Source organism: Homo sapiens, chromosome 2 (assembly GCF_000001405.40).
Source record: "Homo sapiens chromosome 2, GRCh38.p14 Primary Assembly".
NCBI classification, from domain to species: Eukaryota; Metazoa; Chordata; class Mammalia; order Primates; family Hominidae; genus Homo; species Homo sapiens.
This window is the reverse complement of record NC_000002.12, coordinates 200,647,114-200,669,820: the sequence shown is the minus strand read 5'-3', so window position 1 is coordinate 200,669,820 and position 22,707 is coordinate 200,647,114. Positions and strand designations below refer to the sequence as shown.

Sequence of the window (22,707 nt, the reverse complement as noted above, 5' to 3'; positions counted from 1 at the left end):
CGAAAACTTACCACAAGAACAGAGGCCAAAAATTCAGAATTTTATGATCACTATTTTTTTTCTACCATGCAAACGTACCATTTTTGTGAACTTGTCTTCACAGGCCATCCTAATCTTCTCCGGGGTCAGTGGACTATTAAGGGTCAAGGGTCCATGCAGGCCTCTCTCCTGTCGTGCTGCACTCACTGCGTCATGGATAGCGAAAAACACGGAACACCCCAGGAACACCCCCGACTCTCCCAGACCCTTGAAAGGAAGCATGCCAACTAGATTATACCTCTCTCTCTCACTCTGTATATATGTGCATATTTATAGCATATGTGCATATATAAAAATATTACGTACTACATATGTACATTTTTTTTTTTTTGAGACAGAGTCTGGCTCTGTTGCCCAAGCATGACACTGGAGTGTAGTGACACAATCTCAGCTCACTGCAACCTCCGCCTCCCAGGTTTGAGCCATTCTCCTGCCTCAGCCTCCAAGTAGCTGGGATTATAGACATGCACCGCCACACCTGGCTATTTTTTTGTATTTTTAGCAGAGATGGGGTTTCACTAGGTTGGCCAGGCTGGTCTCGAACTCTTGGACTCAGGTGATCTGCCCGCCTTGGCCTCCCAAAGTGCTTGGATTATAGGCATGAGCCACTGCGCCCGGCCTATATAAATTTTTTGTTTCAAAAAGTAATTTAATCTTTTGATCCAATATTCCCATTCTTAGAATTCTAGCCTCAGGAAATGACCTACATACAGAAGATGATTATTAGGCATGAAGATGATTATTGCAAGGTGAAAAATTAGATAGAACCTGATGGCAATAGTAGTTGATGTTAAGTTCTAAGATTTGGAATACTAAAAATTTTTATCATAATGTTAGATTAGAATTAAAATGTTTAATAAGAATTTTTCTTCTGCAATCCTGGTAAAAATCCCAAACAGCCAAGAGAGGAATGTAGCCTTCCTGTCACCCAACAGGTATCATATAAACATGCATATTTACCCATAGAACATTACTTACCTTAGATGAATAAAGAGTATTTGAGTTTTGAGAAGGAGGCAACAAAGCAATGTGCAACTCCGTGGGCATGTCACAGATGGCAGGGATTTTATATTGGTCTGGACCACGAGTGTGCAGAATGCCCTGGGGAGAATAATTCAGTTCCTCTATTGTATAAAGTCCCATGCCTTGAATAAATGCACCTTCAATCTGAGGCAAGAACAAAAAAAGAATTTCCACGTATGAGAAAACACAGTCAACACTAAGTAGCATTTCAACTTCATGCTGTTTGCTTGAATTTTAAAATTACAGTTTAAGAGCATTTTCAGGGTGTCTTGGAGCATGTTGCTGAAAGTTTATCTAAAAGCCATTTTAAACATGTTTGTTCAGCATTAAGTTAAAAGAAGTTCAAAGTCAGCCGGGCGTGGTGGCTCACACCTGTAATCCCAGCACTTTGGGAGGCCGAGGCAGGCGGATCACCTGAGGTTGGGAGTTTGAGACCAGCCTGACTAACATAGAGAAATCCCGTCTCTACTAAAAATACAAAAAAAATTAGCTGGGTGTGATGGTGCATGCCTATAATTCCAGCTACTCGGGAGGCTGAGGCAGGAGAATCGCTTGAACCTGGGAGGCGGAGGTTGCGGTGAGCTGAGATTGCACCATTGCACTCCAGCCCGGGCAACAAGAGCAAAACTTAGTCTCAAAAAAAAAAAATAATAATAATAATAAATAAAAATCATGAAAAAAAGAAGGTCAAAGACAAAGGACTAGGGTTCTAATTTTGGTTTGGCCATTGAAATGAGTGCTCAGGAAGAGTCTTCACAGAGTCTGGAGCCCAAGCACCCTCTTCTTTTGTTTTTTGCCCATGAGGCAGACAAACCCCCCTGACTGATGTGTCCAGAGACCCCAGGGTGCTAGTGAATGCTACAATCCCATTGTCTCATCCCACCTCCTTGCCCACAAAGTGGCTAGCCTCACATCTCTGGACTCTGATTTTAGATCAGTCTTCCAAACACTTCAGTCCATCCCCACTAAGTGAAGTCTTGTCTCTAAAAGCCCTCCACCCACCCCTGGCAGTCCCCAGCCCTCTTCTGCTCTCTGACTCCCTCCTCATGGCCCACCCCTCCCACACAGGCCTTCCCCATAGTCATCTGCCCTGGCCTGATTAGCAGCCATGAACAGGCATGCTAAATTCCATGTGTTTCTGTAGGGTGACTTCCTCCACTCTTCTTTCACCCCTAATGTCGTTTCTCATTCTTTCCTTGACAACCTGGTTCACACCCACTTCCTCCCTAAGCCTCCTTTGACTTCTCCACACCACAGATTCTTCCCATTCGCCAATAATGCAATGTCATGATGGTGGGGGCGGGGGGTGGGGGGGAGGGGACACAAGATGGTGCCCTAAATCAGAGGTAATGAGCTGAATTGCCTCCAGGTTCGAGACACGCAAACCCAGTATATGAAGATTCCAGGTGGGTCCTGTGTCATTGGAGAGTGTGGGACTCTAAAGGTACAGCCCACCGACTTCACTCATGGAAATGAGGATCCAGTGTGGGCAAACTTTCTGTTTTCAAGAGAAACTAGATATTTATGACTTTCCAATCTTTTCAACTATTTCAAATTTAAATTTGAAAATGTCTGTGGGTGGAATCCAGCACTACAGGCTGCCTACCAACAGCTACTGCTCTGATGACTTGAGGCTTGTTATCCCAACACGACTTCAAACTCCTCGAAGCTGAAGCCCATCGTGTGGCTAAGGCTCAGCACTGGGCACTAACTCTATTTATGTCCCAGAAGTTTGGAGCTCATCAGTCACCTGTAGGCTTGGTCTTGCCTCATTCAAGCTCCCTAGTCACAGATTTTATGTTTCTTCAAAAACTACCTAAAACACCTTTATTTCCTTCCCCCTTTTAAACAGTAAAACATTTGAGCTCTGCAGTTGGTCTGAATAGAGTTGACTAAAGGGTTAGAAAAATAAGATGATGAATAAGACTGATGGAATGCTCTCCTGCAGACCCCACCGCACTTTTGGCTTTTACAAATAGAAAGTGAGACACATCAGTTACACGTACCTGGCCTATGTCAATGGCTGGATTTATACTGCAGCCAACATCCATGACAATGTCTGTTCTGATGTTCTAGTATTAAAAAAAAGTTAAAATGTTTATTTTAATGAGAATAACTTAGGGAGAAGAAGCTGAGGAACACTTCCTGCCAGGCTGACTTTGGTATAAAGCCTTTCTTTCAGCCATGTCATTTCGAAAGAAGCAACAAAGATTTTATTATAGGACAAAGTTTATTATGTAAAACTTTCAAAATTATACAAATACTCTTAGCCAGCTGAAGCACTGTCTTTTTTTCTTGGAAATAATAGGAGAAAAAAATATTTACTTCATTTTGATTCAAGCTGTATGATGCAACAGATTGAGTTTAATTCACTACAACAGATATAACATATGACACAACAAAAGAAAACATCTATGGCCCTCACGATCCTAGTTGCAAAGCTTAATGGCTAGCATACAACCAAACATCCAGGTACAACTGGCTGAGGAATGTTTACTGAACCACAGAGTTCAGGGTGCACCAACAAAAAAGTCTTCAAATTGTCATCTGCTGTTCTAGACTTTTCATTTTTGTAGCAGAGAAGAGAATAAAGTTGACACTACAACTTGCTACTGATAACCTACAAATGAGGAGAAGTACAGCAGGCCCAGCCAGAGTGTTAGTAACACCTTTGCTTTCCAGCAAGTCTGTACATTTTTTTTAATGTGATATAATGGTCTCTGCCATGACTAACAGATTGTTCTTATAATTACTAATTGAACAAAAGAAATCCAAGAGTTTCCTTATTTGATCTGGGACTTTCATGTAACATTTGAAAATTAGATAATGATCTGGAATGTTTGACAATAATAAAACTTCAGGAACTCACATTTCTTATTTAAACACACAGTAAAATGTAAAGTCCTCTTTGACATCAGTCAGCAAGACTGGCCTTCCAGGAGATAAGTGGCCTCAGCTGAAGGTTAGAGGAGGAGCTCTAAAGTCTTCAGTGTTAGTGAAGGTTGTGCTTTCAAAGCTGTGTGCTTAGGCTGGTGGGGCTGGCTTATGCCTGTAATCCCAGCACTTTGGGAGGCCGAGGGGGGCAGATCACTTGAGGCCAGGAGTTTGAGACCAGCTTGGCCAACATGGTGAAATGCCGTCTCTACTAAAAATACAAAAATTAGCCAGGGGTGATGGCACGTGCCTGTAGTCCCAGCTACTCAGGAGGCTGAGGCACGAGAATCACTTGAACCCAGGAGGCAGAGGCTGCAGTGAACTGAGATCATGCCACTGCACTCCAGCCTGGGCAACAGAGCAAGAATCCACCTCAAAACAGAAAAAAACAACCCACAAAGCTGTAGGCTTAGTGCTGTCTGTCGTGTCTTTTGTTAGGACTGGAGAGAGTGGATCTAGGTTGTGGTAGGCTGCCTAAAAGATGGCTCTGGATAATCCTCACCTCCTGGTATTCACATCCATATGTAGTCTCCTCCTATACTCTACCAGGCCAGCCTGTTTGACCAGTAGGCTATGGCAGAGGTGACAGTAGTCACTCTGAGATTAGGTTATAAAGCTGGGCTTCTGTCTCGGGTACTCTCTCGCTTGCACATGCTCTCTCTTTTTCTCTTGGGCTGGTCTCTCTGGAGGAAGCCAGTTGTCTTGTCCTGAGGACACTCAGGCAGCCTACAAAGAGGTATCCACATGACAAAGAATGGAGGCCTCTGGCCAACAGCCAGTGAGAAGCTGAGCCTCCTGTCAACAACGCTATGATGGAGGGAGATGGAACAGGATTCTCCTGTCCCCGTTGAGCCTTGAGATGACTGTTGCCCCAGCCACAGCTTGACAAGCCTCATGCAGAATCACCCAGATAAGCCACTCCCGGAGGCCAGCCCCTCAGAAGTGGTGTGAGCTAATGAGCATCCACTGTTTTCAGCACTAAGTTTGGGGGTAATTTGTTGTACAGAACAGGTAACTGATATTTAGATGTAGGTTCAAAGTGAGGAAAATTTTGCCGGAATAAGGGCAAGTCTATCAACAGGAGAATGGCTGAGAAACAGGCCTTTGGGGAGGGCCCCTGGTAGAATGTCACATTCTGGCCCTTTGCCTAGCAGTGACACTAACCTGAGCTGAGATTTAGCTTTTATGAAGGCATCTGATGAGGCTATATGACACATCCCCTAAGATCATTCAAATAAGTTATAGGAACATGCCTTAAAATTTCATACTAGGCTAATTATTACCTTGTTCTTGGATCTTAACAAGGACAATGCATATATAGGAATATAAGAAAATCCACATGACTAAGTTTTCACCAACTTTTGCTTTGAGGGAGAAGGGACTTAGAAATCAGTTATATGGGCAGGGCACAGTGGCTCAGGCCTATAATCCCAGCACTTTGGAAGGCCAAGGTGGGTGGATCACTTGAAGGCCAGGAGTTTGAGACCAGCCTGGGCAACATGGTGAAGCCATGTCTGTACTAAAAATACAAAAATTAGCTGGGTGTGGTGGCGCAGCCTGTAATCCCAGCTACTTGGGAGGCTGAGGCACAAGAATCACTTAAACCCAGGAGGCAGAGATTGCAGTAAGCCAAGATCAAGCCACTGTACTCCAGCCTGGGTGACAGAGTGAAATTCTGTCTCAAAAACAAACAAACAAACAAACAGAAATCAGTTCTATGCAAGAACCCGCTCCCTAGTAGTGTAGGGCTGCTAGTCTAACACAAAAACCATGCTCAAAGTGATCACTGTTTTGCCCTAGTGCGAGGTTACCCTATAGAGATCCAGTCTGAATTAGAACCAGACAGGTTAGATACTTGAAAAGGCAGGTTCAATAAAAGTGACCATAGTTTCAGAGATTAGGTTGACTATAGTTTTAAAAAATACATGCTGGAGACTTATTAAATGAAAATTTAAATCTGATCACAATCCAAGAACACAGGCATAGAGGATATTTGTAAATATCAAGAACTAGAGCTTGCTTCTAGGTACATTTTGGAAGAGATTATCACTAAACTGGTAGCTTGGTCACATGACAGTTGTTAGGGTATCACAGTCCCATTTAATGTATCAGTGATCATTTATTAGTATTGACAGTGACCAGTAAGTGGCTTCTTTTACTCCCGAAGGCTCTGGTACAAGAGGAGAAATTCTATGAGTCTTTGAAGCAACAGAGACAGAAAGAGGGGGAGAGAGAGAGAGAGAGAGAGAGAGTGTGTGTGTGTGTGTGTGTGTGTGTGTTTGTGTGTATGTGTGTGTATCTCTTCAGAGCATCCCTTGAAAGCATAAGGATGCTCTTAAACTATCTAAAAAGCAAGACCAAGCCAGCTCTGTGGCACAATGGATAGCACACTGGACTTCTAAAAGGCAAGACCTAGCTGAGTAAAAGATATAAAAAAGTGGCCACTACCTGCCCTGGGCTGGCTTGGTGCTTGTTAGCAGATTACAGATGTCTATGAAATCCTTCAAGAATGTCATATCTTGGCATTTCTCATAAAAAGTCAGAATTGCTGGTTGTGCCAATAGTCTACATGAAAGCCCCCTTTAGAGCATGTTTCTTTCTTCATGTAGTTTCTTTCCTGATTCCATTTAAAAGGGCCAGGGAAATAAAGACAGGCCACCAGTTGTTTTCCATGGCAGCAACCAGATCACCAAGGCAATTGTGGGGATTCTATTTTCTTCTGGTAATCCAGGGAAATCACCCTTAGGCCAAATGCACGATGCTGCCACTCACTAAGCTCTCCTCAGATAGATGGCATCTGTGGAATTTAGGTGCATCCTAAGTGCAACTTGAAGACCTTTCCAACCGGTACTGACCTTATGATCCCCCGTCAGGCAGTCTATTTCAACCTCGGAACAGGCAGCTCCATAAACAAAGTATTCGAAGGGCTGGCCTTCGCCTTTCTCCCAGTTCATGTCTGACTCATAACCTCTGGAAGAAACAGTGAGTGTTGTTAAGTGATCACGTCCCCTAATTGCAGACCATGATGACTAAACAGACCCATGAGGATTTATGCAAGCCACAGGAATATACCTGTACCTAATGTATGTGCCAGCACCTAATGTATGTGCGATAAATGTGTTGAATAAATAAGTATTTAGTTTTTTCTTTTAAAACTTGCTTTGTCTGATAAAAACATCTAACTACTCCTGACTGGTGCCTCCTTACTCCTGGAGGTTAGCTTCTTACTTCCTGAATGTCCATCTTACTGCTTTTGGCTAATATTGGATCATCAGATTTGGGGAACTCAACCTTCATTTTACACCAAACGCTATTTCAAAGGTGCATGCTTGCCTGCTTTGTCTATCTTTCTGGCTCCAGAATTTGCCCCTCTGTGTGAAGGATCAGGTCCCATGGCTCCCATTCTTTGTCTCTACTCTGGTCTCTCACCATCAAGCTCCATGGCCTGCTCTGTTCCTAACTAATCTTTAAGAACATCAAATAAATAATGGTAAAACAGAAGCATGGGTCAGCAGCTTGCAGAACTCTCTACCCTCTCTCCTCTGCTGCCCTGCAACCTGGAGGTGGCCATTAAAAATGCTTCCAATGCCTGTTCCTGACAGGCAGTCAGTGCCCAGGTCCCGCACCAATGGCAAAGTGATCAAACCAGGTAAGGCTCTACATCACCCTGCTCTCAGACAGCTTTCACTTTCCATTAAAATAATTTAATAAACTGTTTTCCAGATTCACTGAGTTCCTGTTGTTTCACATCTTAATGTAACATGGTTATGGTCCAATTTCTTTTTTGCCAATCCTGAAGGTGTAAAATGGTACCCATCTTATGGGTTTAATTTGCTTTCCCCTACCTTTGTTTCTTAAGAGATAGATCGTGTTTTCAACAAAAAGTCAACCACTGCCGAGTATTCCAAGTACTAACCACAGAGAGCCTTATAATACCACCCACTATGATTAGAATCATCAGTTAAGCTGAATTTTGTGTGCCTATTTTTCCTAACAGAAGTCTTTCTGGATACTAGCAGTTAAATGTTCTTTATAACCACAACCATGGATTAACTAGCAGTTAAATGTTCTTTATAACCATGGGTAAATAGAAGGTAGAAAGTCAACGTTTGCCAAAATTGCAAGGGAACTGAAACTCTTCCTCAAGATACCACTGTTCTTCTCCATAGCATGTGATCAGAGGGAGTATTTACCTGAAGTATCCAACAGCTGAAAGGTTAATGCTTTCATCAAAAGCAGTCTGTGCCTGTGAAGGAAGAGCATAGCATGATGCAACAAGGATGCCCAAAGAAAGAATCACTCAAGACTTCAATTTTAATTTTACCCTGTGTGTTAAATAAAACTATCAGCAATAGTAACCAGGAAGGACCCAGATTAATCCATTCCTTTTGGCTTTCTCCTCTGTGGTTCACGGCTTGTAGCTGTTTGTTCAGCACCTATGATTGTACTAAATGCCCGCTGTGGTATGATACAGGCTGGACTAAAGTCATCAACATATGTTCCACTTAGGAAGAAATTCACTCAGTCATCTGCAGAAAATTTTCAATTAAGATGGGACATTTTAGAAAACAATGCTTGGTTGGCTGCTTAATTTTAATATCAGGTTTCTGCTAGTCTATAGAGTAAGGGTTCATTTTATAATTCATATTTATGGGAACTGTCAATCCTTTCTGGACACATTTGTTTCAGGTGAGGGGAATAATTTTGCTAAATTGTACCATTTACACCAAAACTCTGCAGTACACAGAGCTGACTACTATGCACAAAAATCAGGGTCAGGTCCAAGTCCCTAAGTCTAGGAATGAAGGTCAGAAGCACATCAATCATTAGCGAAGAAAGTGGGCTGAATGGCTGCATCTCATGGTGGTGGAGTACTACTCTCCATGCTGCACCTCTCTCCAGCTTTCTCCAGCCACACTGACTCAGGCTTTCTGGGCTCAGGCAGCATGGGACAGAGGACAGAAACAAATATGCCCAGGAAGTATAGACAGACCCCATAAATATGAATTATAAAATGAGTCCTTACTCCATGGAATAGCAGAAACCATTTCTAAGTGGGATCCTCAAATGTTATTTCCCCCAGACCTGTATTTGTAAGGTTGCAAAAACTGACATTCTAGAATAGCCAGCGTGACACATGCTCCCAGCTTTTATGGATATTTGTTCCACAACATCTGGTAGTTGATAAACTATTACTTTGAAAAGTTTGTTAGCTGACTTTAGAATGTGTCTTCTTTTCCAACTAGATTATAAGCAGATCAAAGGAAGCAGTTGAGTATTTCCATTCCATTGAGTACCTATTACTGGATGAACATATACCCACTGGCTTGGTTTCCTATTTCTAAACGAGTGCTTATATGATTTTTACTTTTACAGAGTGGTTCTACTATTGTTTTTCTATTTTAGGAACAGCAGAACCCAAAGAAAGAGAAAAAACAGATGTACAGTTATTATCTAGACAACCCCTAGGCTACATAGGATGAAACATTAATTAATTCTGGATTAAAACAGGAGTTCTGGCAGAAGAACCATCTTTTTCTCTAACAGAAAATTTTCCCAGATACAAGAGTTCCTCCACCACACTGTGATAGGATTTCCACATGCTAAGAGCCAAAGGGCCTTTTATTTATCATTACACAATGGTGGTACCTTTGCAAATGCCCTTTCTACAGATTTCAATTAATGCACATTGCTCTTGCTCTCCTCCCACTCCTTTTTCTTCTAAAATAAAATACAGAGAACCATTGATTCTCACCCAGTCTTTCCAAGTTCCTTTAGGATTCTTGCTGATGATGGGTTCGAGGCGTTTTAGAAGAGTTTGACAGGCATCCTAGAGATTATTTTTAAATTAAAATTATGCTCCTAATTTCATGCAAACACCAAATTCAAAACAACATAATATGTACCATTCCATAGGCTTATCTAAGAGGGAACATGGAAAAATAAGACACCAACCCTGTATGAAGGTGATATGAAAGGTTTCATATGAGTGTGTGCACGTGTGTGTGTGTGTGTGTGTGTGTGTGTGTGTGTGTGTGAGAGAGAGAACTGGCCTTGTAAGCCATGCTAAAAAGTCAAGACTTAATAAAAAACCTCTTGGAAAACCACCAGCCATTGCTTTCAGACATGGCATGGCCACATTTATTTTGTGAGAAAATTCACTCCGGCAGCAGAAAGCTAGAGCAAAAGGCAATGAAGTTGTGGTGGAGAGACAGAAGTCCTGCATCGGCCCTGGGGAGAGGCGCGAGCCTGTCTTAAAGTGATACTAACATAATATGGAAGCAGAAAGACAGAGACATTTTTGAGTAGACTTGAAAGGACTTGCTGATTAGAAAAATGTCAGGAGTGAGGGAGAAAAAGAGGTGGCATTTCCAGCACAGGAGAACCACTGGGTGCTGTACCACTGACTGAGGGCAAGATGGGGAAGGAGATATGAGTTGGATTAACTCTCAGCATCTTTGGAGCTCCACCCACCCACGTATTTGGCCCTGAGGGAGTTAATGATTTGGACGCCACTGCAGTGACTGTTACCTTTACTGCCAAACCGTTGAGATCTGCCACCACAGAACCTCCAGAGATATTTGCATTAGGGACAGTTTCTGTGCTTGTTCCACGCAGGTGGACATTCGACATTGGCATTCTTAATTCACGGCTGACCACCTGAATTTTAAGAGAGAGTTTCCTTTTAAACACTTTGATTAGTCACAGACCTGTGCACATGCCCACGTGGTAACACATGTGTGATACCCTCATACCCATGACAGGGACAAGGGAGCAGAACCACAAATTCCTCCAGCCATGAAAAGTTTCTTGTTTCTAAAAATCCTATAGCTAGTCTGGACCCCAAGTCCTGAACACACTTTCTTTTTCTTTGACTTTCTGGTGATAGTGTCAGAAAGAGGAGGTGAGGCCCCAGGCCAAGGCAGGAAGAAATGCTTCATTCTTGTTTTTATAATCATGATATTGACATCTTTGAGGCTTCTCCTACGACCACACTCTGCAAAATTCTAGCAGAACCTTATCAATGATAGGAGATGTCTATCTCCTATCCACATTTCTGGAGTTGCCCCAGGGAAAGAGTGCTTCCTATGAGAAAGGACGATGGCCTTGGAAAAGCAACGGCATGAACATGTGGGTCACAGGAGATGGCGCCAGTGCCATGTGCCAACACAAGGACTTAGCTGGCTGCTTTATTCTTTATTTTTAGCGCTAGAGAGCAAAATCATATTGCTAACTTTAGTTGATCCCAAACTTGCCTCTCTCCTGCTAGCAGCATGGCTTGAAAGTGCTTGCCCACAGCTTCTACAAGGACACAGGCATACAGAGCCCTTCCATGAGGTCTGGCTCTCAGATCATCCACACAGAGTGCAATAGGCTTAGAATATCAAAGTCTCTGGTGATCCAATAAGGAAAACACTGAAATCTTACCCTCCAATGGGGAAAGTCAATTCTCAAGTGACTGAGAGAAAATATGTATTTAACATCTTTATACTCAGAAAAATGTAAATGAAAGCAATAATGAGATACTTTCATTCACTTATCAAATTATCTACAAATTTTCAACAATCCATAACATTCACTGTTGGTTAGGGGTGTCATGAGAGGGATACTTTCTGGAAAACAATTTGATAATGTGTGTCAAACAATTTAAAATGGTCACACCTGTGACCCAGTAATTCTATTCCCAGAAGTCTATTTTAAGAAACAATCAATGATTTGATCACAGGTTAGTGTACAAAAATATTCACTGAAGTATTCAAACAACTGGGGGATGGTTAAATAAATCATATATGTATCCACATGCAGCCACATACAATTCATGATTGTAAAGACTGCTTAATGACAGGAGAAAGTGTTCACGCTATATAAAGTGGGTGGAAAAACAGAATACAAAATTAAACAAAAGCATGTTGGTGACTTTTTTGCAAAAGCAAAAAAGACAAGATGTAAAGACTCCCAAATAATGATTATTCTATGTGGTGAAACTGTGTAGGGTCTTTGTTTTTTAAAATGTTCTGCTGCTTCCAAATATTTTATAATCTATAATGTTACTATTATGATTAACAAAAGAGAAACAGTAGCTTAAAATTAATCTAAAATAAGACAGCCAAAAGCAAACAGATAAAGTTTGACTGTAAATATCAAAGGTGATTTATATTAGCAATTGTTCGGAGCCTGTAATACAAAAAGGGCAAGAAATAATCCAAATACATCAGAATTTACACATTATCTTATTGCCCAAGAAAAACTCAGAAAGGACAACTCAACTGTCACTATATCCAAAGGAAAGCAGCAAATAAGCATATAATTTTCTTTAGCAATAAAACAACTCGAGATTCTTCTGCCACATTCTTTTAGGGGTTTAGTTGCAAAATTGGTTTGTTTACCCAGTTTCTGCTAATCATTTAACAGAGTAAACTGTCAAAGCTCAAATCTCCTATCCTTTGTTTTTTATTTATTTTTACTTTTTGAGACAGGGTCTTGCTCTGCCACCGAGGCTGGAGTACATTGGTGCAATTGGCTCACTGAGGCTTCGACCTCCCAGGCTCAAGCAATCCTCCCACCTCAGCCTCCCAAGTAGGTGGGAAAACAGGCTCATGCCACCATGCCCTGCTAATTAAAAAAAAAAAAAAATATATATATATATATATATATATATTTTTGGTAGAGATGGAATCTCCCTATGTTCCCTGGGCTGGTCTCGAACTCCTTCACTTAAGAAATCCTCTCACCCCAGCCTCCCAAAATGCTGGGATTACAGGCATGAGCCACCTCACCCAGCTTCCTATCCTGTATTTTGTAACAGAAAATATCCATTCATAGTTTTTCTCTCATGAACAGATCTATAAGCACACACCCAACTCAATCGAGTTATTTGCATTCTTACCTGAATCATTTTAGTGTGGACCCCCTGCCCCATTTCAATTCCACCGTGAGTGACCAGCACAGAGCCATCAAGATAAATGTGAACCAAGGCAGCAGCCTGAGCAGAAAAGACGAAAACTGTTTCTGTGATCTTTTTGATATTATCACATATCGTGTCAATTAAAACATTTTCCTTGGAAATATTTCCCTCCAAGAATCCCGCACCCCCCAGGGTGGAGCAACATTTTAGGTTTCTTTTTGGGGTGGGGGAAACCAGGGCGGGGACTCTATTTTAAAATACAAAGTAAAGTATAGACAGGTAGAGGGAGAGGGTGAATAATTGTGTGCACACATATTCTCATAGTTGTAGGCATGTCCCAGAAAAATGAAAATGGAAATCCATTTTCTTATAATCCCATATAAGATGAGATAGATAGACACTAAAATTGTTTTGCTGCAAAATGACTAAGCTCACCCTAAATCATCTTGGCACAGAACTACAGAGCTTTGGAGTTAGACAAGAACTTGGAAGTAATCTTATCTAACTGTATAGCTCCCCACAAGGATCCAGAAGGAACCAGACTGCTAACAGCATTAAAGACTCTTATAATCAGAAACATCCAGTCTCTAAGCTAAACATGTTTTTATAATTAACAAGAATGTGCCTTCTTGCGTATCTGCCTGTGCTAAACTAGAATATGGGGATATCCCAGAAAATCACAGCAGGAAAGAAGGATGGCTTCTTCCCTTTGGCTCTGCAATGTAAGAGCAACATCAGCAGCAATGGTCCTCCTAGAACAGATATCTCTCAGTGGTTCCACTGTGGTCCGGGAAAGCCTGCAAGGCAACCTTTACAGTTTTGCAGCAGGGAAGTGCTGACCGCATGGGTGTGGTCTGGGTCAGCTAGGTTTCTTCACATCTAATTTTTTAGGCAGAGTGACATAATAATCTAGGATTTGTAATGTCAAGGTCTTCAGAAAATTCTGGTAATAAGCCAATGTCAACTTAATAAACCAAAAATTTTCCTAAGCCTTAGTTGCTCACTTAGATTATTTGTAAGCAACCCTGGTCATTAAGTGAAGGTTGATGGAACTGCATGTTAATCACCAGATAAACCCAAGAAAAAGACTGCATTTCCAGATCAATTCTCTGCCCATCAGAAGGGCCTTCCAAGCTGCCTGGGGACCGTGGACCATGCTTGGAGAACTGTCTCTTTATTTGTATCCAAAGGTTCACATTACCCCCGTGAATGACAACCAGAAACCTCTATCATTCCAAATAAGGCAAGTTTGACAGTGAAAATGCACTCCATTTATTTGGTCGGCAGGTGTAAACTAGGGATGTACTGGGCAAATGGGGACATCAGGATACCCTTTCTCTGAGGACCAGGCACATATGTCCACAGTCCAAAGGAGAAACTTAGACTCTTGAGGAAGGCATAGTAGCCATGATAATGACACCCAAGGACCTTGGGAAGATGTAATAGAGTGTTTTTTACTGTTTATTGACTCATGACTCCTGGAAACACCATCTTTTGCTCCTGGACATTCATCCTCAAAATAATAAAGGTAAGGAAGAGTTTTCCTCTACAGAGAGCCCAGGGCTGGCTGCCTGGGGGCCATGCATCAGATGTCAGGTGATGCCAGCTGCAACAATAGCTCCTGGGCCCCATTCCATGGCACTTCATTGTGCTTTGCTAGAATATGAGCCCCCTGAAAGGAAGGATCACGTCCTAAGGAATCTCTCGGAATGCAACATAGCAACACACATGCGGTAGGTGCTCAGTAAATGTTTGGTAAGTAAATTTGCAGTAGCATAGCCATGCAATCTGTTTCTTAATCTTGTAGACTCCATATTTGGCCTCCTTGGCTCGCAAAGTGTGCATGTAATTCATAGTTGGACTTGGCCCATGTGATTAAGCTACAATTATAGTGGATTATACTTTTCCAACATTGTGTGACCCTGCTGGTTATAGCATTCAGCCTGTATGTCCAAGACAGCATGTCTATCAGATATCACTCAGCCATTTGTTCCATGTGGTGCTGCAATCTCCTTGGGCCATTTAAAATGTCAAATTTGGTTTAGTTAAGTGGCACCACTGTACAGCTCATTGTTAGTGCCACAAAAGATAATTCTGCAAAGCTTCATCTATAAAACAAGCACAACTGGAGAGCTGGAGTAGATGGTCCTCCAACATAAGTAGAGGACCTAGTCGGGGAAATTTAAATCTTCAAACAAATACTACTGGTATCGATGAGAAGTTAGCTTCAAACCCGCAGATTCCCCAAATGTTTCAGCCATTCAGACATTTGAGTTCCTACTCTGTGCCAAGTGCCATAGTAAGGCATTGGACACACAGAGGTTGGTTAGGTCCTGTCTGTGCCATTCAGTGTTCAGACTGCAGGAAGTAAGTACACTGATATTGCAGGTTCAGCTCCAAACCACAGCAATAAAGCAAATCACACAATTTTCGTTGTTTCCCAGTGCATACAAGTGTTTATGCTACACTGTACTCTATTAAGTGTACACTAGCATTATGTCTAAAAAGATTGTACATATTTTAGTTTTAAAATACTTTGTTAAAAAATGCTAACAACCATCTGAGCCTTCAGAGAGTCAGAATCTTTTTGCTGGTGGAGGGTCTTTTCTCAATGTTGATGGCTGCTGACTAACCAGGGTGGTGGTTGCTGACGATTGAGGAGGTAGTTGTAACAATTTCTTTTCTGTTTTTTTTTTTTTTTTTTTTTTTTTTTGAGACAGGGTCTCTTCTGTCACCCAGGCTGGAGTGCAGTGCCTTCCTTACTAAGCTTAATCATTTCTAGCATTTGATTTCAAGTGAGACTTGTGACTCTTTTTTTCACTTGAACACTTAGAGGCCACTGCAGGGTTATTAAATGACCTAATTTCAATATCATTGTGTCTCAGGGAATAGGGAGGCCTGAGGAGAGGGAGAGAAATGGGGGAAGAATGCTCCTCTATTTGTGGAGCAGTCAGAACACACAAAACATTTATTAAGTTTGCTGTCTTATATGGATGTGGTTCATGGTGCTCCAAAACAATTACAACAGTAAAATCAAAGATAACTGATCACAGATCACCATAATTATGAAAAAGGTTGAAACACTGTGAGAATTACCAAAAGGTGACAAAGAGTGAGCACATACTGTTGGAAAAATGGCACCAATAGACTTGCTTGAAGCAAGGTTGCCACAAACTTTTAATTTGTAAAAAATGCAGCATCTAGGAAGTGCAATAAAGCAGAGTGCAGTAAAACAAGGTATGCCTGCATAACACAGGTGGGGCACGTTTGACCCCCTCAGCTGCTGGGCAGGGACTGCCTCTGCTCAGGGAGGCCCTGTGGGACGATGAAGGCGGTGCTGAAGTTGAATCCTTGTTCTGCCATTTATTGGCTGGATGTCCTTGGGCAACAGAGAGAATCCCTATGAGCTTCAGTTTCCCCTTCTGTGAAATAGAGAGATTCATACCTACCTGATAGAGATGAGATAGAGAATAATCAAGTGGAGATTACAAATTCCCCAGCCCAGGTCCTTCCATGGAGAAGGCACTCAAATATCATGTCTAGTTTCCTCCTCTATTTAGTTTGTTTCAGAATGGAGGCTTTTAGCATGTGCCCTCCACGGAGTTTGGTCTCAAACTCCTTGATTCAGCCCTAAGTAAATATTTTCAGCACGTAAGTTGGTCAGTTTCCCAGGTGGCCTTCAAGAATGAATTTGTACTGCTGGCTGTTGCCTAGTTTGTTCTCAGCTGAGCTGAATCCCACTTCAGTTCCTATCAAAAGGTGTTTTGGGGAGACCACGTGGTGTAACTAGAAAACCCAGCTTTCAGAGCCACTCAGGCCTGAGTTCTAGCCCCAGCCTTACCTCTACCAGCTGCAGGACCTTGAGCCAGTTATTTAAACCTTCTAAGCCTAGATTTTTTTTATACCTAAAATGAGGATACAAATCTTCTAGGTTGTCCCAAGATTAAATGAAATACCTAAAAGTACTTACAACATCGTAGTGCTCAGTAATTGTCACTATTATTATTTTTTCTTTTTTGTAGAGATGGGGCCTCACTATGTTGCTCAGGCTGGTTTCAAACTTCTGGCCTCAAGCAATTCTCCTGTCTTGGCCTCCCAAAGTGTTGGGATTACAGGCGTGAGCCACTGCACCTCACCATATTTTTCAAATCTACTTTTTGAGAAAATTCTGATGAGGAAAATGGGTGAGACCTGGTCTATGGTGGAGGCCAGATATAAAGTAATGGCAGCCATCAAATAGAGGCAGTGCGCCATGTTTACCCACGGCCAAACGTGAGAGGATTTCCAGAGGATCCATGAACAATGGAGGCTGTTTTTCCTGATGATCCTGACTAGTCTGCACAAGGACAGACAGCCCCAGCTGACCTCTTTGGTAGCTGCCAGCTAATCAGTTTACCCCAAAATTCTATACCAAGACTCAATGCTTACAAACCCTTTTCCCAGTGGTAGTTTCTTTCTCTCTTCTTTTGTAATAACCTCGTTTTTGCTTTTATTTCTCAACCACAGTATCTTGACTGTCTCCCACATTTGAGTAAACTGCATGCAGATGACTACATGGCTCTGTGTTATTTTTTGCCATCACAAACAGGCAAGGAATGAGAAGACTGCAATAAGATCATCATTTGTTATAACACTTCTCTGACCTACCACCTGCCTACAATCAAAGCTGCATGCAAATGTTCTCAGGATGGCACCAAAGCTCAACTAGGACAGTTAGGTGAATGGATGGATATGGGATGGAGGAAAGGACCTTCCTACCCACTTTTCCTGGCCTCTTCTGATCCCTTAACACACAACATCCACACTAACGCCCCTCTCGAAGCTCCCCTACCCTGCCATTTGTTCCTATTTTGTGATCGCTCAGCACAGCTGCCATGCCTTCTTCATGACTCCAACCAAGGAGTGAATTCTGCAAAGAGGAGTGACAATTGTGAGGGTCCTCCCAGCTTATCTGTATGTACATGGATGTGTGTATGTAATAAAATAGATAATAGGGGTTCCCGGCTGCCATACAATGAGCTAGAATGTTGCAGTCCTTCACCAGCCGTTAGGGGTAAGTTTTATTCATTCTTAAGAATGAATGAAGTCAAGAATGAAGAGGTGGAAACTGCAACCAAGCAAGGGGATTTCTTTAATCAATGAAAGAAATTAAACTGCAAGAGCAGATTCCCAGTCCCCCCTTTCACAGTTTTAAAAGGTACAAGGTGAATAAACTTCAAAAATTCTATTTAAAAAGTGATTTATTTTTCTGAATTTAATTTATTCCAACCCACCCAGAAGGAGTGGAGCACCCAAAACCTTGCAGCTCCTCATTTCTATTTCATGGTCCAGCGACACCGAATTGCGGACACTGGAAGAGGAGTCTTGGAGGTCATCAGTCCCACCCTCCTGCTTTCCACATGAGCAGTCTGAGCCCAGAGCAAATGGACTCAGCTGCCATTTGCCAACTCCTGTTGCCAGGGCCAGGAGTAAACCTCAGTCTCCCAATTTCCAGCAAGAATGTTTTTGACCAACCATGGGCATGTGAGCAGAGGAGCTCTGGTCTCCTCTGGAGTAAAGCTAGCTTAATTACTTTGACTTTGGTGGCTTTTGTGAAATTTAACAATTGGGCATTGCAACCATATGGCTAATATGACTTAAGGAGAAGTTTCCTCAACACCTCTTGCTTTGTCAGGGCTGCTTCCAGGCAGCATCCTCATGTGCATTTGGAGAACTCACCTGACCAGCAGCACGTGAGCCAAGGCCAACAGGAAACTTCAGGGGGACCATGGCCAGTCCTTTCTTCTTCCAATAATTCTCTGCATTGAACTTTTCCACAGCAACTTTCCTCAAGGAGTAGGAAGACATGGCCATACATTCTCTCCAACACTGGATTAGGTTCTTGGCATTGATCTCTTGTTTGTAGGGTGTTTGATCAATTTCCTTGTACATGTTTATGATTCGCACCTATGAAAGAAAAGGAGATTAAAGCTGGGAGGGGAAACCCAGCAGACATAGGCTCATCCATTCACCATCCTCCTGGTCAAATTCTGCCCATCCTGTAAGGTCCAAGCCAAGTTCTACTGAGTCCTTGTGGAAGCCTTTCCTAATGCACAACATTGTCCTCTTCCTCTACTCAGAGCTTCTATCAAACGTGCTAGCAATTACTTATGTGCTTTCTATGCTACTCTTGTGCAACTTTAAAGGATGGAACCTTTACCTTATGTTCCAATATAACTCAACACAGTCCATGTACACTGTAGACTCTTAATTCTAGTTGCATTTGGGTATCTGCTGAAAGATCATCTAGGCCACATGATTTGGATTACTCCCATGCTATGTTGCAAGATAAGACTACTCACCTCCAAAACAGGCAAGCATGAAAGTTCGTTTAAATATAACCAATATCTAGGATGAAGAACAAATTAAAAGATTCTATCCCAGGATGTCTGAAGCACTGAGTAGAATTCTTCCTGTATTCCCAGAATTGGTGACTAAGACCCTAAGCTGAGAATAAAAGGTGCCAAGTATGTCACATTCTCAGCTGAGAAAACTCATAGCACTTGTGGCCAGCCCCCTCCCTAAGCTGACAGAGCCATCACAGACACACTCTCCCCACCCTCCGAAGCAAATTATCAGATCATTGTAAGAGAAACACTGGAAATTAGTAAGCCATCTCATTTGGGGGAAAGTGGTGTTTTTAAGAGGCTGTTCCCTGCTCTAACTTCCCTGGGAATGAAGGGAAGGATGTAATTCTCCTCCTTAGTGCTACCAAATGTGGCAGGACATCAGGAGAGAGTTTAGTGGGATGGCCAGGAAGGGAGGGGCAAGGCCTCCCACACGTTCAAGAGAAGCAAAGAAAGTGGCTACTGTTGGGTGAAAGCTGGTAGATGAATTGGGACCTGGGGCCTTCTAAAGACTGCTGGGGCATGAGCAGAGAGGTGTGGTCACCAGTGGAATGCTGTGCCAGCTGCCCGCTGAAGGTCCAAGGACTGCCAATTTCTGGAAGAGCTGGCAGAAATGGAGCCATAGACAATGTACTTGAAAAGTGACATCTGTCCAAAGAGAGGACTGTGAGCTTGCCGGGAGAAGTCACACAGGGAGAAACTGACTGTTTTCCTGGTCCTTCTTCTCTTCCTCCTTGCACCAGCATCACAGCAGAAGGCACAGGGGAGGAGAAGGGGCTGAGAGAGAGCTCACCCCATCTCCCCACACTAATTCCATTCCAGGATCTGGGAGGAGGAGCCAGGAAGGGGAAGGTCGTTGTCAATAAACAAAGTTGGGGCTGAGACTGAAAGAACCAAAAGGAGAAATTGGATCATCATGGCGGACGGGAGGCAGGACTAGATTGCAGCTCTGGACAGAGCAGCTTGTGGAAGTTCGCCGAATTTTAGCTCTAGATCGACTGCAAGAACAAAGCAATAATCCTGAGAGGACCCACAAACCCTCTGAAGGAAGTGGACTACTCCTGCAGGACCCAGGAGATACCCCAAATACCGTGAGTGCCCCAGCTGTGAGGGGGAAGGGAGATCCTCCTCTCCCAGACACACACCCCCACGGGAGAAGCTGAAATTCTGTTTGCAGGAGAAGATTCCGACTTTACCTGAAGCTGAGACAATTTAGAGAGCCAAGCAAAATGCAGGGGTAGAGGAAGCAGCAGAAAGGCCCTAGGAGCTTGCTGTGTCCCCTAGCAGGCCAGGCCATTCCTGCCTAACAACACAGGGATCCATGGTGGGGGCGGAGGGGGCGGGGGACCAGAGAAGTAGGGGGTGAAACTCCACAGGGAGAAAGAAATCTCTAGCTGAACTTTGTAACAATTTGAATGGGGCAAGAAGCCTCCTGGTCAGAGCTCAGTGGGAGGGCACAAATCTGGTGTGCAGACTCCACAGGCAGGGGGAGAAACCAAGCCCTTTTCTCTCTCAGCTAGGGGTGCAGCACAGGGCAAGTTTTCAAGCCCATCACACTGTCTGCCTGCAAACAAACTCAGGGCTGTTGGGGGGTACACATTGGGAGTGAGACCAACCCTTCTGCTTGTATGGGAGCTGGGTGAGGCCTGTGACTGCTGGCTTTCCCCTACTTCCCTAACAACCTGCATGACTCAGCAGAGGCAGCCATAATCCTCCTAGGTACACAACTCCAGTGACCTGGGAATCTCACACCCATCCCCCACAGCAGCCACAGCAAGACCCACCCAAGGACAGTCTGAGCTCAGACATGCCTAGCCCTGCCCCCACCTGATGGTCCTTCCCTATTCACTCTGGTAGTGGAAGACAAAGGACATTTAATCTTGGGAGTTCTAGGGCCCTGCCCACCGCCAATCCCTCTCCACATTACTACAGCTGATGCTTTCTGGAAAGTGCCACCTCCTGGTAGGAGGCCAACCAGCACAAAAATAGAGCATAAACCACCAAAGCTAAGGACCCTCATGGAGTCCACTGCACCCTCCATCACCTCCACCGGAACAGGCACTGGTATCCATAGCTGAGAGACCCATAGACGGTTCACATCACAGGACTCTGTGCAGACAACCCTCAGTACCAGCCGGGAGCTGGGTAGACTTGCTGGGTGGCTAGACCCAGAAGAAAGACAACAATCACTGCAGTTCAGCTCACAGGAAGCCACATCCATAGGGAAAGGGGGAGAGTACTACATCAAGGGAACATTCCATGGGACAAAAGAAACTGAACAACAGCCTTCAGCCCCAAACTTTCCTTCTGACAGAGCCTACCCAAATGAGACGGAACCAGAAAAGCAACCCTGGTAACATGACAAAACAAGGCTCTTCAACACCCCCAAAAAATCACACTAGTTCACCAGCAATGGATCCAAACCAAGAAGAAATCTCTGATTTACCTGAAAAAGAATTCAGGAGGTTAGTTATTAAACTAATCAGGGAGGAACAAGAGAAAGGCAAAGCCCAATTCAAAGAAATTTTAAAAAAGTTACAAGAAGTTAGGGAGAAATATTCAAGGAAATGGATAGCTTAAAGAAAAAAACAATAAAAAAATTCAGGAAACTTTGGATACACTTTTAGAAATGCAAAATGCTCTGGAAAGTCTCAGTAGTAGAATTAAACAAGTAGAAGAAAGAAATTCAGAGCTCGAAGACAAGGTCTTTGAATTAACCCAATCCAACAAAGACAAGGAGAAAAGAATAGAAAATAGGAACAAAATCTCCAAGAAGTCTGGGATTATGTTAAACAACCAAACTTAAGAATAATCAGTGTTGCTGAGGAAGAAGATAATTCTAAAAGCTTGGAAAACATATTCAGGGGGATAATCAAGGAAAACTTCCCCAGCCTTGCTAGAGACCTAGACATCAAATACAAGAAGCACAAAGAACACCTGGAAAATTCATTGCAAAAAGATCTTCACGTAGGCACATTGTCATCAGGTTATCCAAAGTTAAGATGAAGGAAAGAATCTTAAGAGCTGTGAGACAGAAGCACCAGGTAACTTATAAAGGAAAACTTACATGATTAACAGCAGATTTCTCAGCAGAAACCCTACAAGCTAGAAAGGATTGTTCCCTATCTTCAGGCTCCTCAAACAAAACAATTATCAGCCAAGAATTTTGTATCCAGTGAAACTAAGCATCACATATGAAGGAAAGATACAGTTGCTTTCAGATAAACAAATGCTGAGAGAATTCACCATTACCAAGCCACCACTACAAGAACTGCTAAAAGCAGCTCTAAATCTTGAAACAAATCCTGGAAACACATCAAAACAGAACTTCTTTAAAGCATAAGTCACATAGGACCTATAAAACATAAATACATGTTAAAAAGCAAAAACAAAAAAATAAAAAACAAAGTACACAGGCAA

At 42.8% G+C, this 22,707-nt stretch overlaps 1 protein-coding gene across 5 annotated transcripts in view, besides 1 other annotated feature; it reads right to left on the bottom strand.

Moving 5' to 3' along the window:
• Positions 1–22,707, bottom strand: part of AOX1 (aldehyde oxidase 1) — a 96,228-nt gene that overhangs the window by 12,421 nt on the left and 61,100 nt on the right. For 3 of the 5 annotated variants that reach the window (XR_007073113.1, XM_011511062.2, NM_001159.4), the window contains exons 26-34: positions 18,620–18,847; positions 12,884–12,979; positions 10,528–10,656; positions 9,752–9,826; positions 8,190–8,242; positions 6,852–6,966; positions 3,069–3,134; positions 1,018–1,206; positions 79–246 (exon numbers count right to left, since the gene is read on the bottom strand). Coding sequence is in view for 4 of the 5 variants with exons in the window: in XM_011511062.2 (XP_011509364.1) it covers positions 79–246; positions 1,018–1,206; positions 3,069–3,134; positions 6,852–6,966; positions 8,190–8,242; positions 9,752–9,826; positions 10,528–10,656; positions 12,884–12,979; positions 18,620–18,847 (1,119 nt within the window). In the remaining variant the exon portion in view is untranslated. The remainder of the gene's footprint in view (positions 1–78; positions 247–1,017; positions 1,207–3,068; positions 3,135–6,851; positions 6,967–8,189; positions 8,243–9,751; positions 9,827–10,527; positions 10,657–12,883; positions 12,980–18,619; positions 18,848–22,707) is intronic. The other 2 variants (XM_017003946.2, XM_017003947.3) reach the window with 1 other exon arrangement.
• Positions 20,171–21,370: an enhancer, noted in NCBI's record as "MED14-independent group 3 enhancer chr2:201513174-201514373 (GRCh37/hg19 assembly coordinates)". NCBI's record gives its function as "activates an origin of replication core promoter dependent on BRD2, BRD4, P300/CBP and CDK7 cofactors, and independent of MED14, by STARR-seq in HCT116 cells {active_cell/tissue: HCT116}" and the evidence as "EXISTENCE:reporter gene assay evidence [ECO:0000049][PMID:35650434]".